Source organism: Homo sapiens, chromosome 7, assembly GCF_000001405.40.
Source record: "Homo sapiens chromosome 7, GRCh38.p14 Primary Assembly".
In the NCBI taxonomy this organism is placed as follows: domain Eukaryota; kingdom Metazoa; phylum Chordata; class Mammalia; order Primates; family Hominidae; genus Homo; species Homo sapiens.
Window position 1 is genome coordinate 35,592,463 of NC_000007.14, and position 17,988 is coordinate 35,610,450.

At 42.2% G+C, this 17,988-nt stretch overlaps 1 long non-coding RNA gene across 2 annotated transcripts in view, besides 1 other annotated feature; it reads right to left on the reverse strand.

Moving 5' to 3' along the window:
- Positions 1–1,530: 1,530 nt before the first annotated feature.
- Positions 1,531–17,988, reverse strand: part of LOC101928421 (uncharacterized) — a 37,633-nt gene continuing 21,175 nt past the window's right edge. The window contains exons 3-5 of one of the 2 annotated variants that reach the window (XR_007060285.1): positions 17,208–17,329; positions 4,007–4,167; positions 1,531–2,288 (exon numbers count right to left, since the gene is read on the reverse strand). This is a non-coding gene — a long non-coding RNA (uncharacterized LOC101928421). Of the gene's footprint in view, positions 4,168–17,207; positions 17,330–17,988 lie in introns of both variants that reach the window. The other variant, XR_007060284.1, reaches the window with a different exon arrangement.
- Positions 9,119–9,619: an enhancer, noted in NCBI's record as "H3K27ac hESC enhancer chr7:35641191-35641691 (GRCh37/hg19 assembly coordinates)". NCBI's record gives its function as "activates a minimal SCP1, AML or CMV promoter by ChIP-STARR-seq in naive H9 embryonic stem cells {active_cell/tissue: H9 hESC(naive)}" and the evidence as "EXISTENCE:reporter gene assay evidence [ECO:0000049][PMID:30033119]".

Here is a 17,988-nt window from a genome sequence, read left to right on the forward strand (position 1 = left end):
ACCAAAAGCAGTGTCTCATTCCTGGAGGGACTGTAGAGAATTAGTGCCACCATAGGACCCCTGAAAGATCAGAGGTGATTATTCCTACCAATCCCCATTTGACTTGCTGATTTGACCTGTGCGGTAAACAGAATGGCAGTGAATTATCAGAAATTTAATCAGATGGTGACTCCAATTTTCAGAAGTTTACTTAGATGGTGACACAATTGCTGTTATTCCAAACATAGTTTCAATTGCTGGAGTAAATCAATACATCCCTTAGCACCTGACATGCTGCTATTGGTCTGGCGAATACTCTCTGTTCTCTGCTGTTAGTAGACATCACCAAAAGTAATTTGCTTTCAGCTGAGAAGGCCAGCAATTTTCCTTGGCTGTCCTATTGCCGGGGTATATCAACTCTCCAGCCCTAGTGTATAGGATGTGGATCATATTTTTCATGCTGCAGAACATTGTTCTGGTCAATTGCATTGATGATGTTATGTTGACTGGATCTGATGAAGAGGAAGAAATGACTTCTAGCTGCATTGGTAAGATATCACCAAAAAATCCACAAATAGCATACAAAAAAAATCATACAATTATGCTACAAAAAAAATCAGAAGCTTTCTATCTTAAAAATTGAAGGATTCAATGGTCTAAGGCATATCAACATATTCCTTCCATGTTGAAGGGCATGTTGCTGTATCTGGCCCCTCCTACCACTAAGAAAGAGGCACAACCCCTGGTGAACCTCTCTGGGTTTGGGAAGCAATATATTCCTCATTCAGGCATGTTATTCCACCCATCTACCTAGTGAGCCACAAAGCTTCCAGTGCTGAGTGGGATCCACAAGAGAGAGAGTTCTGCAATAGGTCCAGGCTGATGTGCAGGCTTCTCATTTGGGACATAGAACCCATAAGAACTGACGCTACTTGAAGGGTCAGTGGCAAATAGGGATTCTGCGTGGAGTGTTTGGCAGATCTCTCTAGGGTAAATCATAGTGAAGACTCAAAGGATTTGGGGGAAAATCTGTGGTTCTCTGCTGATAACTACTCTCCTTTAGAGAAACAGCTTTTAGATTTCTGCCGGGCCTTAGTAGAGACAAAGTTACTCATGGGCCACCCATCACCATGTGCCTTGAGCTGCATGTCATGTGTTGGGTGCTTTCTAACCCACCAAGCCATAAAGTTGAGAATACGAAGCAGTGCTCCATCATTAAGCGGAAGTGGTATATATGGACCGAGCTCCAGCAGGTGCCTATGCCCTCGCCCCGGCTCCACTGGCCCTCAGAAGCCCCGGCCCCCTCCCCTTTCTACACTGCATTTTCTCTCTCTCAACCCATGTGTATGGCCTCATGGGGAGTCCTCTATGATCACTTGACTGATGGGGAAGAAACAGGCTTGTCGGACTGGCAGTTCTGCCTGATATCTAGACACCACCTAGGAGTGGGCGGCAGCACTTCCACCCCACTTTGAGACAGCTCTGAAAGGCAGTAGTGAAAGGAAATCCTCCCAGTGCGCAGGACTATAAGTACCGTGTCTGTTCATTTTGCCTTGGAGAGATGGCCGGGGGCAGGCAGCGCACCACTCAGTGAGTCCTCTTCAACTCAGGGTGGCTTTCCTGCACATGACTTCCAACAGCTGATTCTGGAGGTTAGCGCCCCCTAGAGGAGACTCCGGCGTCTCATATTCCCTTTTATCAGACCTGAGGTTGTCAGTGGATTTACATTTTTCCTTAATCAACAGACTAGTTCTGTGCCAACTGCCTCCCGCTTAACATAAAGCCAACTTTTAGCTAAATAAAAACTTCTGAATGCTTTTTGAATACAAATAAGAGATCTATGAAAAATCTAGCCATAGCTTCACATGTCACTGATTCCCAGGGACAGAAGTAGTCAGAGCTTGGACTTTAGATGTCACAGTCCCTCCCTGCTCACCTTCCCAAGGACTACTTCCAAGGATAGCTGCACAGAGGGTCACGGCCCAGGATGGCCCTGAAGCCCATCCCTGAAAGGTCCCCTGGAGGAGACTGCTTTGCTATTTAGAATGTGTCTGAGAAAGCAACCAGGGCTTAGGGATGAGTAAGCACCCCCACCTCTTCATTTGCTCATGGGAAAGATGCACATTTCATGGCATATTTGACACACAAACAGTCCCTGGCACTGGGAATGCAAAACAGAAGAAATATGTCGGGATGGGTGGGAAAAGGGGGTCAGGGAGAAGACTCACCACAGTTCCTCGTTCGACTTAGGCCACACCAATGACTGGTTCTCCTCTTCCTCCAGACAGCCAAGACAAGCGGGGACAGGACTAGGAATCAGAAATGCCCCCTAAAGTTCAGACTCAGCTGGAGGAAGGGTGGTTTATACCCACAGCAGCCCTTTCACAGAGTTTGCAACATTATTGCTAAGGCTTCAGTAATTCACCTATCAAAGGGACAATTTTTGCTATAATTTTTGCCATGTACTACCAATATTATAACACTTTTATTTAAGTAAATGTGTATTAAAAGTTTCTTTATATCCACTGCTTTGCATTTTTAAAATATAAAATATGGGCATATGCAAAAATATAGCCATAAATGACAGATAAGTATAAAATTAAATATAAATTTTAAAATACATTATTAAGTTTGAGAGAGACCTTGTGCCTGCAATCATTCTACACCTGAGAAACACCCTCTCTTTGCTGAAAAAGGAGATAAGAGAATGCCAGGGAGATGTGAGAAAGGATAGGCACTGATCTGAGGCCTTCTCCTCCACGCAGTCAGAAAGATCACTGTAAAATTTTCTTGCAACATTCAGAGCTAGGGAGAGCTGGATATAAATTTTAGGTCTGCAATTTCATGTGTAACTTCTTTCTCTGTGCTTCAGTTCCTTTCCTCATCCGGAAAATGAGCTTAACAAAGGACCACAGTGACATATGGAAATGCAGTACAATGTGCATACGATTTTCAAATGCACGCTGAAATGTCAAGTCATCTATTGCTTTGAAATGTTTCAGGAAAAAAAGAGACAGAGATAGAAGTAAATATAGGAAAATGTCAACTGTTCTATCTAGCAGGTACATATAGGGACGTCCACTGTACTAGTCTTTCAGCGTTTCCTTATGTCCCCATGTATGCAACTATGAGAGAAAGGAAGGAGGGAGCTGGATGTGCTGGGCAGTCCCAGGGCAAAGGTATTCTTCGCTGAATCTGTCCGGCCATCTCCCAAGGTCCCAGGGCTCTGTGCTGTTTCCCAGTCGCTGATGTGGGCTCCAGGATGAACCCTTGGGGTGGCTCTGTGGTGTGTGTGGAGTGTGGCCTTGTGGAGCCATGGCTACAGGATGGTGCTCAGGGTGCCCTCTGTGCAGCGCCCCTTGGAGAATGTCCTTAGGAAAGTGAGTAGGGAGGTTGCCATGACCCAACTCAACCTGAGCCTGACCTCGACTTCCTCCCCCTCTTGTGAGAGTCTGGGACATGTGCAGCCATATGTAGACTTTTCATAGCTTTTTTTTTTTAAGATATATTAATCTGCTGAAATCCAACCTTATGTTAAAAGAGAGACACAGCTAAAAGAAAAACACGTCCCACTGATTCAGGAGAAATGCAAAACCACTGATAATCTCAGCTCTGACAAAAGGGAGGCTGTGGAGCTAGAATCTTCCTTAAAGAGCATTGGCCTTTAGAATGTCAGCAGGAACTTGCAACCTGCCAGAAAACCCTGAGAGCTGAAGAGGGTCAACTTAGTTCCTTAGGAGGACCTGTAGGAAGAGAAGTCCAGGCCCAGAACAAGAGGAGACAGCTGAAGTCAGGGGAAAGGTCCAGTTTCTGGAAGAGGAACTATGAGTCATCCCACAGGAAATAGCTCTTCCAAACAGAGCACTGGTACACAGCTGGTCCCTCACAGCAAGGGGGCCTCCCTAATCTGAAGACAGAGCTCCCCCTCGGAAGTTATGTCTGAGTACAAACACGAGAATACTGGAAATACTATAAAAACCATCCAATTTCTTCCTCTCTCCCACCTAAGCTGCCAGGTTATGCTCACCCCGCTCCTCCTTCCATCCAAGGAACTGTGTATGATATTTCAAGGCCTCATTTTCCTCCTCCCTCCTTGCCTCTTTCTCTTCCTTTCTCTCCTTCTTCCAGACGCCATGCATGGATCCCACCACTGCCACCACTGTCAAGATCTCACCCAGACTTCACAGCCTGAAAATAGAAATGTGTGCCTGCAAAATTAATTCAGTCTTCAAACAAATCAACGATTGCACTTCCCAAAACTATACCAGGAAACTTGGAGCTTTCCTTTGTCTTGCTTAGAAAAAAAATTAATTTTGCCTCTTTCCTTATTAGTTTATGCAGCTGCTGCTGCTTAAGAGATTATATTTTTGCTAGATGAAGCTATAATATTCAGAGATTTATAAATGATATCATTTACAAAATGATTATATATAATTACTTTTTATTTTGCCCTTTAGAGAGTATAAAAACTGTATTTTAATTTTAATTATGTGTACATTATAACCTTAACAATAACGTGAGTAGTATGAGTATCAGCAATAGAAAAAAAATATTTTTCACTTTAAATGTTGTCTTTGTTTGCCCAAATGCTATATTATAGTTAAAAGGCAAATGTAAAAACTGTTTCATACCTATATAAATATTGATTGGCTTTAAAAAACACTTACATGAATTCTTTTCTTCAAAACATTCCTTTCTAATATTCCTCAAAGCAGCTCACTTACACTCAGCATATGTAACAAAACTTATCCATAAAACGAAATTACAAAAGGGAATCTTTGTACAGATCCAGACCAAATAGCCACAATGTATAAAACACATTATCAAAATGAAATTGATTAAGTTGTGAAGCCTTCAGAATGATTTCTAACAGTACTAAATAGTTTATAAATACTTAGTAGATAGTTTACGTATCTGTGAAAAGGAGCTAGTAATGGGAACCTCTCATCAAGAGAGTCATTGTATGGTAATTAAATAGAATTGTAAAAACAGATGCTATTTTAAAGTATTTAATCTTATAAAACTTCTTTTAATATTACAAACAAAACAGAAAGAACTAATACATTAATTAAAATCATAAACTTTAGCAACTTTAAGACCTAAGACCAATATTAAATTGAATCAATAAATAATTTTTGATACCTAGACAATTCCTAAGAACAGGATTCAAAAGACTTATAAGACTTAATATAATTTTAATTTACCCTTATTTCTTGAGATGGCTACAAATTAACAGCGTATGCAAATGACTTTTATGATTACATACATTTGTTTTGCTATCTTAAATTTGTTGAAATTAGCTAAAATTTTAAAACAATTCAACAGTTTTCTAGTTTTCTTTTGTGTTTGGGGAAAAAAGCAGGTTACTTTAGCTACACATAATAATATAAATGGTTGAGTAGACTAGTGCAATAATTACAGAAAAAAGGACTAGGTATATAAGATAATTGATGTGATTTGATTGTTAAAATCATTACAATGTATTAAGATGATATAGTATAATATATATTATTTTAACATATATCAACAGATCAATTATATTTTAAAGTTATAGTTAAAATATTTACATTTATCATTTATTTTTATGTTTATTTACATGCATATACCTAAATACAGCCATGAAGATTTATTTATCTTTCCCTGCAAATTGTTACATAAATAATATATAAATTAGTAAAATTAGAAGTAGAGGGTTGGGTTCTTCTTCTTTTTTTTTTTTTTTTCTAAAAGTGACTATCATTCTATAAGGTCTGTGCCCCATACAGTATTACTCTTAAGTACAACTACCTCTACAGAGAAGGCCCCAAATAAACTAGTTAAATTGACTAGTTAATGGAGAATTCATGCTACAGTCAACACTCCTTGTGTCATCAACATATGTACAATTGGAGAGATGGAATAGTCTGTGATTAGACTGAAAGAAAGGGGCATGATCTAGATCCCTAGAGTAGACCCACTCAGACTTTGACTCATGTTTTCATGGCCTGGGGTTAGTCGCCTGGTCCCCTGGCCTTGGAAAACTAATGAATAGTCATTTTGTCTTTCATAATTGCCTAGAAACCACTTGACTGATGCATCTTGTACTGAGTCTAAAATGCATAACCATTGTCATGTCAGATCACTCAACAACTCATCTGATAACAAAAGGAATAAGAGGTACTAATTTGTCCAAATACAAAGAATGTTCTCTAGACAGCCTCCCAACAGGCAGAATCTCAGTAATGGTGAAAAAACCTCAATATCATGGATTAATTACCTGTGGTCTAACTTCATCTGCTGTTGGCCAAAAGTGAGAATTACAAGAAAAACATATCCAAAAGCCATCAGCTTGCACTAACAGCGAGACCATGATGTTCTACTGGAGATAAACAATTTCACAGAACACCGACATCAGATGAATTCAATGTGGGACCATGATAGAGTAGGAAAAAAGTCAAATCCCTTGGAAATTATATCTTAGTACAAACATAAGAATACTGGAATTACTATAAAAACAATCCAATTTCTTCCTCTTTCAGCTCACATGAGTGGCCATTGCCTTTTTGCCAATTACATCTTCAGTTCCATTCCATTTCTCCCACTTCCAGGTAAAATATTAAGTTGTCCATGCATAGATTTAATTTTACTTCCTGAGAGTATCCAACCTAGGAGAGTACCCTGCTTCTTCAAACACCCCCCAAAATCACCTAACAGGCTTAAATCCTGAAATGCTTCCTGATTTCCTCATGGTGTGTGGTCTCCTTTGTTGCAGCAAGTAACACAGGCAAATTTGTTCCACTGCAGATGTATTCCTTCGCAGTTTTGATTGACAGGCAATGATACCACCAACAGCTACACTGAGACATTTGATCCAAAAATGATCAAAAGCCAGTGAATACAGAAAAAAAGTGAGAAACAGCAATAATAATTTTCACACACCAGACATGTGCCAGAAGGTATTTTCACATTTGCCTTTATCTCACACATCAATTCTATGAAAGCGTTCTCATTAGAGTAATTTTATAGCTCAACACATTAAGCTCAGAGAGTATAAAAGGCTTGCTCAAGGTAATTTTCATATCACATCTACATTTGCATATATTGTATAGCATTTTTAGCTATGAAATGCTAAGGCTAAAATTCAATTTTAGGTTTCCCCAGCTCTCAAATCTTTCCCTCTATAACATGATACCTCCAAATACTATTACATTGTTTTAATCAGATTCAAGAACAAATTCTTCTGACTATGTTCATGACAGCTTCAACAAAAATCCAAGAGACCTGTTAAATTTACTGATGGAATTCTGGAGGGTAAGAGTGACAGCTGTTGGTAAGAGGAAATACGGTGCTAAAGAGAAGTGTTTGGGGGTCAGAGGAAATTGAGGAACTATATTGGGAGATGGATAAAGGAAAGAGGAGCAGCCTGGAGCCATGAAAGGAGAACTAAACTTCCTCCTGCATTAGATGATGTATTAAGGATTAAAACTGATGGGTCATGGAAATAGCTGTATTTCTTTTTTTTTTTTTTTCTTGAGACTGAGTCTTGCTCTATGGCCCAGGCTGGAGTGCAGTGGCATGATGTTGGCTCACTGCAACCTCCATCTCTCAAGTTGAAGTGATTCTCGTGCCTCAGCCTCTCAAGTAGCTGGGATTACAGGTGCCTACGACCACACCTGGCTAATTTTTCTATTTTTAGTAGAGACGAGGTGTCACCATGTTGGCCAGGCTGGTCTTTAACTCCTGACATCAGGTGATCCACTTGCCTCGGCCTCCCAAAGTGCGGGATCACAGGTATGAGCCACCACGTCTGGCCCCTTTCCCATATTTCAATCCAATAATCCTGATTCTGGAAATTTATCCTAAGTAATAACTTAGCAAATAAAATATACATATATATGTAGAAATGTTCATTGTAACATATATTTGCAAAGATTTGGAAATAGCATACACATCCAACAATAAGGAAATAAAATAGCACATTTTATGCTTTATACCATGCAATATTATACAACATAAAAATATAATTGTGAATAATATATGAATAGAAAAATGCTTAATTCCTAAGGTTCAATTACACACAAATCAGAAAACAAATAAGCAGGAAAAAATAAAATATATGTGAGAGTCACACACAAAGCTGCTGGAGAAACCTTCCATCTGCTCTAAGGAGTCATTCCCTACCCTAAAGGGAGACATCAGCCACCTGGACCAGATGCTTAGCTGCCACAAGAGGACACCTGGAACCAGCCCCAAGAACTTTGCTTGAGGGCATCTGAAAGAAAGATCAGCCACCATGGTCCTTCCCCGAGGTTACCAGGGCTCTGGGAGTTGCCTCTCCAACTGCTACTGAGAAGGGCCCACACCTTACATGCTCAACTGCTAAATAATCTACAGCTTTCCTCTGATGGCCCTCCTTCTTCAAAGGAAGGACCAATTCCATTATACCACACATCCCATTTGCTTCAGTCCTCAGCATAATCAGAGACGTGCTTACCCCACACTGATCTGATCTGTAGTGCCCCAATAGGACCTAATCTCCTACTCTCTTCATCCTCCCAAATTAACCACCTCTCATCAGCAAAATCACTTTTAATCTCCACCCATACCATAAAAGTTATTTTTTTTTGAGAGGTCTCCTTCTGGTTGCCCAGGCTGGAGTGCAGTGGTGTGATCTTGGCTGACTGCAACCTCTGCCTCCCATATCCAAGCAATTCTCCTGCCTAGCCTCCCAAGTAGCTGGGATTACAGGTGTGAACCACCATTCCTGGCAAATTTTTGTATTTTTAGTAGAGATGGGGTTTCACCATGTTGGCCAGGCTGGTCTCAAACTCCTGAGCTCAGGTGATACACCTGCCTTGGCCTCCCAAAGTACTGGGATTACAGGCGTGTGCCACCACGTCCAGCTAGTTTTTGCATTTTTAGTAGAGACAGGGTTCCACCATGTTGGCCAGGCTGGTCTCAAACTCCTGACCTCAGGTGATCTGCCCATCTCAAGATCCCAAAGTGCTGGGATTACAGGCATGCGCCACTACTCCCAGCCTGTTTTCCCTTTTTTCTTCTGACTGAAACTTGGCTGGCACTGGAGGACATGCTTTACCTGAGCTCCCTTAAAAGATGCACTCTCTGATTTCCATTATGACCCTGCAAGCAAGTGGCAGTGACGCAGGATTTTTTCAGTGCTGCTTGGCCAGCTGGATATATCCACAGCTGGCAAAACACATACCTGAGCCTCACTCAGCCCTGGGCTCACAACAGGAGGCACCCTGGCCATTCGATGAGCCAGGCCACACCTGGCTTGTACTCTAACTGGACCCCGTGTTCACCACAGGATCCACACTCAGCCCACAGCTGGGCCAGGCTGGGGGTGCCTTGACCTGCCTCCGCCCTGTGCGTTGGCATCCCAACAAGGGGAATGTGGTGGCACTTGAAAAGGGATGCCAGTGACCCTGAAGCCCCAAAGGGGATGCTATAGCCTTTTTCATGCCCACATTCGGTGGGTCTCAAGTTCTTGTTCCATGTCCAAGAAGAATGAGGTTATGCTACAGCCAAAGGGTGAGCACAGCAGAGAGTTTTACTGAGTGACAGCTCTCAGCAGAGAGCGGACCCAGAGAAGGCAGCCCCCTACCTGAAGTTGGGTAGCTCCCCTGACCTGAAGGCAGGCAGTCCCCACCAAGTGTGGCTGAGTCCAGGACTTTTCTGGGCTCAGAATCGGGGAGTGCATGCTGATTGGTTTATGAGTATGCAAGAAAGGCTAAAACAAAGGCACCACTCAAAGGTAGGTAAGAAACACAGTGCAAGAAACCACTTAGGGAAGAGTAGGTATATGTAAAATAGGTGGAAGGTGGGGATTAATCAGAGGAAAGCATGCCAAACGAAAAGAGAGGTTCTCAATTTGGTCCATGGATTTATCCAAGACTTGTAGCTTGGATTTCAGGCTTTGAACTGTCTTTGGTTTGAAGGGGGGTTTCATTGGGGACCCGCCCCATCGGCCTAGGCATTTGACTGCCTCTGCCACTATCAGCAAAGTGAGGTGGACCTCACCTGAAGGGCACTGGAGTTGAGGAAATCAAGCATCTGGAGCAACAGGTTATTGGACTCATAACTTGAGGGCACAGTGAGTTGCCCAAAGTTCTACATGAACAACCATGTAGAGAAAGCCAGTGATCCAAGTACTAAATGCACCAATTCAAGACGGGGGGTGTGGGGCATTGGAAGGTGTTGAGTAGATGGCTGCAGTGGATAAGAGAAAAGGTTTGATTTTTTAGTCTGAGGTTTTTGAAGGTGAAATAGCTTGGAAGTGGCATTGAGGAGCAAGTTGATCTCCATGTCTTGAGGTACCTAGGTTGTTGAAGACAAAGCAGTCAACATATGTGAGTGCAAGGTGGATGCTCACATCTCACTCCCACTAAATCGATGAACTGGTCTGCATTTGTACTCTATATTCCATTTTCACGGCCTAACAAATATCCCTGAACAAACCAAAGATAATCCTTCCCCTTGCAGTCTGCACCTCATTCTCTCTTGACTTCTCATTGTTAAGTAAAATCTTCTGCCATTATTCCCTCTCCTTCTGGCATCATCCATTTCTCCCACAGAGAAGAACATTCCCATGAGCCTACAAACATATTGTTTTTAAATCTTTCCTAAATTCCAAGAACAGATATATATTTTATTCCATTTATCTGTTCCCTTCAACACAAATTCCTCAAGAGATTTGTCACCATCTCCTCTTCCTCTTTAACCACTGTAATCATGATTCTGTCCCCACTGCACCAAGAAAGCAGCTCTTATCAAACATATGGTCAAAGCTAATATCAATTTCTTGTCCCCATCTCACTGATTGCAGTTGACACTTTTTTTTTTCTGAGATGTTTGAGACAGAGTCTCACTCTGCTGCCCAGGCTGGAGTGCAGCGGCACGATCTTGGCTCACTGCAACCTCTGCCTCCCAGGTTCAAGCGATTCTCCCACCTCAGCCTCCCAAGTAGCTGGGATTACAAGCACACACCACCACACCTGGTTAATTTTTGTATTTTTAGTAGAGATGGGGTTTCACTACGTTGGCCAGGCTGGTCTCAAACTCCTGACCTCAAGTGATCCACCCACCTAGCACCTCCCAAAGTGCTGGGACTACAGGTGTAAGCCACCCCACCCTGGTGACATTTTTAGAATATTTCTTCCTTAGGTTTCTTTGATAGCAAACTCACTAGATATTTTGTCTCACCAGTTGTTCATTTTCTCTCCTTCGCTAGACTCTGCTCCTCTCCCAGAACTTTAAATTATTACATGCCACGTTCTTGGTCTTCATTTATCTATCTCCTCTCTCTCTCTCTAAGAAATCTCACCCATTCTCACTGCCTTAGAAACTATCTGCACTCTGGCTCTGAAATCTATATCTCCAACCTAATCCCTCCTGATTTCCAGGCTTGTAAATCCAACTGTTGACTCAGCATCTCCACTTGTCTAATAGACATCTCGCACTTAAAAGAAATCTTGATCCACCCTTCCCCACTCTAACCTATTCCATCCTGTCTTCCCCACCTAAGGAAATGAGGCCACCACCCACTCAGTTGCTCAGCCTGAAAACCTCCAAGTCATCCTTGTTTCTCTTCTTCCCCTCATAGCCCATGTCCATCAACAAACACTATCAGCTCTCGCCCCACAATACATGTCGCAAGTGTGACCCCTTCTTACCACCTCCACTTCTCACACTCAGCCCAGCCACCCTTGGATGCCACCTGCAGCACTGCAATGGCCTCTGGATGTGTCTCCCTATCTTCATTCTGGCCCCCCAGTACCCTCCCACTGTGCATTTATCATCTTGTCACAGCTAGAGTGAGCTTTACAAATAGAAAATATATATGTATAATATTGCATTTATGAAAAGATGTTCAATCTCAGCAAGCCACTAAACATTTTGAAATTAAAATAACACATTGCTCAATGTAGTGCTTGGCACAAAGTGACTTCTCAATGAATATTTATTGTATACATGAAAAACAATTTTTCATTTACGAATTGGCAAAACTTTTTAAGTATAAATGTACAGTATTAGCAAGGGCTCAGAGAAATGGCACTCTTCACACTTCTGGAGAGACCGTGTGTTTTTTTTCAGGAAATTTGTCTCAAAAGTCTCAGAAATGCCCATATATTTTGAGCAATTACTTTCATATCTAAATTTTCAATTTAAGAATTTGACTAAGGATGTGCACAAAGTTGTAACTACTGCATCTTTGATGTAACCAGATGAAACCTTTAGAAACCAGTTGGTGTCTTGGTGTGTCCATTTGCTTGTTTTGTCTGTCACTCTAGATGGGTTGAGGGTTAATAAAAAGGATTTTTGTCATGTGACACAGAAATGTTTTCCAGGCCTTTGTCCTAAGAGAGGTCAATGTTTCACAACCCTGACTTGAGTTCACTAGTCTGGGGTGGGGCCTAGGAAGGATATTTTTAAAGTTCCTTACAGAGTTCTCAAAGTAGTCTACTGAGAAGCATTGACCTGGATTTTCCTCACCCACAGCAAGAAGGGTTGTTCCTCACACTGCAGTTTTCTGAGAGGAGCCCCCCCAGTGACCTTGCCTGCGATGGGCATGGCTATGTGGGAACGGAAGGGGCTACATCCTAAGCCCCCCTGACTTGACAGGAGCAACCAAGAATCCTGGGCCAGATCATCAGTCATTAGGGGAAAGCCTCATGCACTCTTCGCTTATAGAACAAGCCTCTTTTCCATAAAGCAATATTATTTGAAGGGGAACTTTTTTCAGACTCCATCCAAATTGCCACCACATCCAAAATCTAGTACCTAAATTAGTTAGACTTTCTGTGCATATTTTAGAATATTGCCTGTCACATGGTGTTACGAACTGAATCTGTACCCCCAACATTCACATGTTGAAATCCTACCCCCTAATGTGTTGGTAGAGATGACTCTCTTTGAAAGGTAATTAGATCATGAACCTGGAGCCCTCACGAATGGAATGGGATTCGTGCCCTTACAGCTCTCTTGATCTGTTTTCCCCATGTGAGGACACAGTGAGAAGATGGCCATATGGAAACCAGGAAGAAGGCACCGAATCAGCTGGAACCTTGATCTTGGACTTCCCAGCCTCCAGAACTGTGATAAATACATATTTTTCTTTAGGACCTCCAGTTTATGGTATATTTGTTATAGCAGCCTGAATGGACTAAGATACATTGTAAAGTTCACTTTCCTCTACTATAAAATGGGTGGGGAATAAAATGGGATAACAAATTGCAAAGTACCTTATCCATATTAGCTGGCAACATTTTTCAGGTTAGAAGAAGAGTATGAAATCAAGCTACACAGTTACTCCTCCCCTTGCCTTCTTTTCCCCATTGCTACACCTGCCTTGCTTCATTTTGCAGCCTGATCTTGCCTGCAGAGATGTAAGGCAGGGCTTTGCACAACCTGCAGAGGTTGCAGGATGAATGCCAGGATGGGGAGCCTGAGTCAGCTCCTCCTTTGGATCTTCCCCTGGCCTCTCCCACCATTACCACTTCTCCCCCAAGGACATGCAGGGGTCAATTACAAGAGCACGGTGACTCATTGGCAGGAAAAACATGGACACTCTGAATTAGAACAAACATCTCTGCCTGTGGTCATTTGCTCTCCCTCAGGCTTCTGAGAGGGATCTGGAGACAGCTTCAGGTGGGCTATTCTGGGCTCTACAGAGCCCTGGGGTGGCAGACAGGCCAGGCTGCCCAGGCACTGGGCACACTATCTTCCGGACCAATTGCTGGCTCTGGGTTCACCTTTCCTTGCCATCAGATGACCAGAGAAAAGATCAAGGCAGAACAGATGTTGGACCTTCCTAGAGCCTCTGTCTAAAATCAAAGGGGACTTCCTCTTACTGACCCCATCTATCTCAGTAAGAGAAGGAGCAGCTCCTCTCTTGTTCCCAAACATCAGTATTTTGGCTAGAAAAACACCAATTTATATTCAGTAATCCAGGCCTTTTAAGTGACAATTTAACCTTTCCACGTTCAAGGATGGATTTTTTTTGTTTCATTTATAAAAATTCATTATTGAATAGAAAGAGGGTATATTAATTTCCGGTTACTGCTATAACATTAGCACCCACTTAGAGGCTTTGAAGGACACAAGTGCATTGTCTCACAATTCTAGAGGCCAGAAGTCAGACATTGATCATCCTGGGCTAAAATCAAGGCGTCAGCAGGACTGTGTCCTCCTGGAGGCTCTAGGAAAGAATCTTTCTCTGCTTTTTCCAGCTCTTTGTGGTCCCTTTCCCCATTTTCAAAGCCAGCGGTGGAGCATCTTCAAACCTCTCTCTCATTTTGACCTCCTCTTCTGCTTCCCTCTCCCACCTTAAAGGACCCTAACAATTACATTAGACTTGCTTCAGTAATCCAAAATAATTTCCCAATCATAAGGTCAGTTGATTAGCCACTTAATTCTTTCTGCGACCTTCATTCCCCCTTGCCATGTCACATGATATATCACAGGTTCAGGGGATTAGGATATAGAGATTGTTGGGGGGGTCATCATTCTACCTACCACAGGGATTATACAACATTTTGGTTTGGCTGCTAAGCAAATGATGACCCTGCCTACCTACCTACAGATGAGCCTTCAAACTTCAAAAGAGGGCCTCAGGCCCCAGACAAGGAGCAAGACTTCCCAACACTATCAGGGCACTTTCTGGTGACAATAGTCAGAGTAGTTAGGAATCAGCGTTGATGATATTTAGGTGACTAAGGTAGCATGATCAGAGCCCAGGTAAGTATTTTGTCCTTGGACAAAAAGTAGGTCTGTGTCTACTTAAAGCAGTCCGGAAGGAGGAGGCCAGAGCTTGAGTTCTGAGGCCATCTGAGCATCAAAGTTAGAAAAACAAAGTTCGAACACAAAATCCATGTGGCAAAAGTAGGGCTGACACTGTGAGACCAAATCCCTGGCAAAAGCCAAGAGCAACGAGAGTGAAACTGGAATTTAGCATCCAAAACTGAGCCCACTGAGCTAACGCACTGCTGTGTGCCCTATTTGCCATCTGCCCTTATGGTGTTGGGCAGGTCAGCCTGGCTTAAGGATACAGGGTTTGGCTGACATCATTTTTCTCAGAGATGACATCATTTTTCTCAGAGATGACATTAGAACTACATTATTCTTTTGATTCACTTTTGTTGTCTCCCCAAAATTAAAGAAGCTCAGCGGTTAGAAGATGACCATGCCTATTAGTAATCCTGATGTGGAAGTGGCATTTGGACCTCCTGGCTGGACTCTCTTCCCCACCAGCTCCAGCATCTTTGCAGGTTACTGAAGTGTTTACAAGCTGAAGAGAAATAAAATAAAAACCTGGCATCTTAATGCATGCCACTCACACCTTTTCAAACAAGTTCATATTTCATGGAGTCCCCCTTCATCCAGGTATCATAGTGCATTTCCTTCGCTGCAATAACGGAATTACATCAGTGTAGGAAACAGAATACTATCAGAGTGTTACAGGAAAACCTCCATTTTTTTCCACTGTGGCTCAGAGAAAAGAGGGTTAGCATTCAGTCTCTGACTAATGTGCTTGCTAGATTTGAGGAGCAACACAAACCTCAGCTGATTTTGTGGTAAAGTGTTATCTAAGTCCATGTCTTTTTTATTGAGGATACAAAGAGCTCTAATATTTAGCCATAATTTCTAAGATGATACAAGCAAGGGAAAATTGAATGGAAGGAAAGCAAACCCAAATAAATAAACGGTATTGCATACCAGATATGAGCCTGTGTGTTTCACATGCTTTTTCATGCACCCTTCACACTAATCCTAGGAGATGGTGATTATTCTACCCATTTTAAGTGAGCACCTGAGGCTCACACAGAGTATAAATGACTTGCCCAAGGTGATTTTTAAAGCACATGCCTACAGGCTTAAAATTTCTTTACATTTTAGCTAGTAAGGGGTAAGACTAAAATACACACTTAAATCTCTCTGATCCCCCGTAACTTTTCCTCTATTACATAATTCTCCTAAATATTATTGTTACTTTGTTAGTTTTCTAACCAGAGTCCACAGCAAAATTCTGAATATCCTCAATGGTGGCTTTAGTGCAAATACAAGAGACGTGTTAAAATTACTGGTGGACTTCCAGAAGGGTAGGGTTTGGCTGGTAGTGAGAGGAAACGTGGCTCTGAGAAAGAGCATTGGGGAAATGGGGGAGATTAGGGGTCCTGGTGGGAGAGGGAGAAAGGGGAGCTGTCTGGAACAGTAGAAGGAGGATTGAACTTGACTCCGGATTCGATGAGGCATCAGGGACTAAAACAAAAGAATCAATGAAATGGCTTTATACCTTTTATATTCTGATGCAGCAGTTGAAATCCTGGAAATGTATCTATCCTAAGGGATAATTTAGCAAATATATAAGCACACACATATACACAAAAATGTTCATTGCAACATATATTTATAAAGATTTAGAAATGTCATACAAGTCCAAGAGTATAGACATAAATTAGCAAATCTTTATACTTTTCCATCATGCCATGTTCTATTTTAAATGTATAATTTGTATGTATTTAAATAAAGAAAAATGCTTATAAGATTCACTTTTAAAAATCAGAAAATAGAGAAGCAGGGAAAAATCTTCACAAAACATATACGAAAGATAGTGTCTTGGGCTGTGGAAAGAACAGGCTTCTGCTGCTGTGAGTCCCTCCTTACCGGCAGAGAGAGACTGATCCCCTGAACCAGCGTCCACAACACAGCACATATCTCCCAGCCCCTAAGACGGGCAGGCCTGGAAACTTGGCCCAGCATTCCTGAGCTTCCAGCAGAGGAAGACCAGCCACCACCCCCTCTTCCCAGCCACTATACCTCAGGCTCCTGCCTTCTCCAGCTCAGAAAGTAAGGCCACAGCCCACTCAGTTGCTCAGCCTGAAAGCCTCCAAGTCATCCTTGATTCCCCTCATAGCTCACATGCAATCCATCAGCAAATGCTGTTAGCCCCACCTCTGCAATACATCCCAAACCTAACCCCTTCTCATGGTCCCCACTTCTCACACTTGCACCACTGCAATGGCCTCTGGACATATCTGTCTGCCGTTCTGGCCCCCTCCCCCTCCAACCATCCACTCTCACCACAGCTAGAGTGAGCTTTACACAAAAGAATTGGGAGGCCGAGGCGGTGGATCACTTGAGGTCAGGAGACGGAGGCCATCCTGGCTAACATGGTGAAACCCTGTCTCTACTAAAAATAAAAAAAATTAGCCAAGTATGGTGGCACGTACCTGTAGTCCCAGCCACTTGGGAGGCTGAGGCAGGAGAATCGCTTGAACCTGGAAAGTGGAGGTTGCAGTGAGCTGAGATTGCGCCACTGCATTCCAGCCTGGGCAACAGAGCAAGGCTCCGTCTCAAAAAAAAAAAGGAATTATAATTAGCTACCAGGTATATGAAAATATGCTGAATCTCAATGAAGAGCGACACACTTTCAAATTAAAGTAACACTGTCCAATGGAGTAATGGCATATAGGAAACACTCAAGAAATATGTATCGCAGACATGAAAAACTACATGTTCATCTACCAAATGGAGAAAGATTTTTAAACTGAAAATTTCCAGAATTGAAAGGGCCCAAATAATCACAACCTTTTTCACTTCTAGTGAAATTGTGACTTTTTTTTTAAGTCTCAAAATATCCTGTAACTTCAAATCTAAAATTTTAACCTAAGGATTTAATTAAGGAAATAAGCAAAATGGTATCTTCTGCATCTTTTCGACAACAGGCTTAGACATTGAGAAATGAAGAAATTAGTGCCTTGTTTGCTCATTTCTTTATCCTTTCTGGCTGCCTTTGGGAGGAGAAGAAGGACATGTGTTTTCTCCCAGGAGGCCTTTGTCCTAGGACACTTGATGTGAATCCTGGCTGCATTTAAAATAATCTAGAAAGTTGAAATACATACCTATTACCAGGCTCTATCCCCAGAGATTCCAATTTCATTTGGCCTACGGTGGGGCCCAGACAGGTTATTTTTTTAAGTCTCTGGGGGATTCTCACAGCAGCCAGGCTGA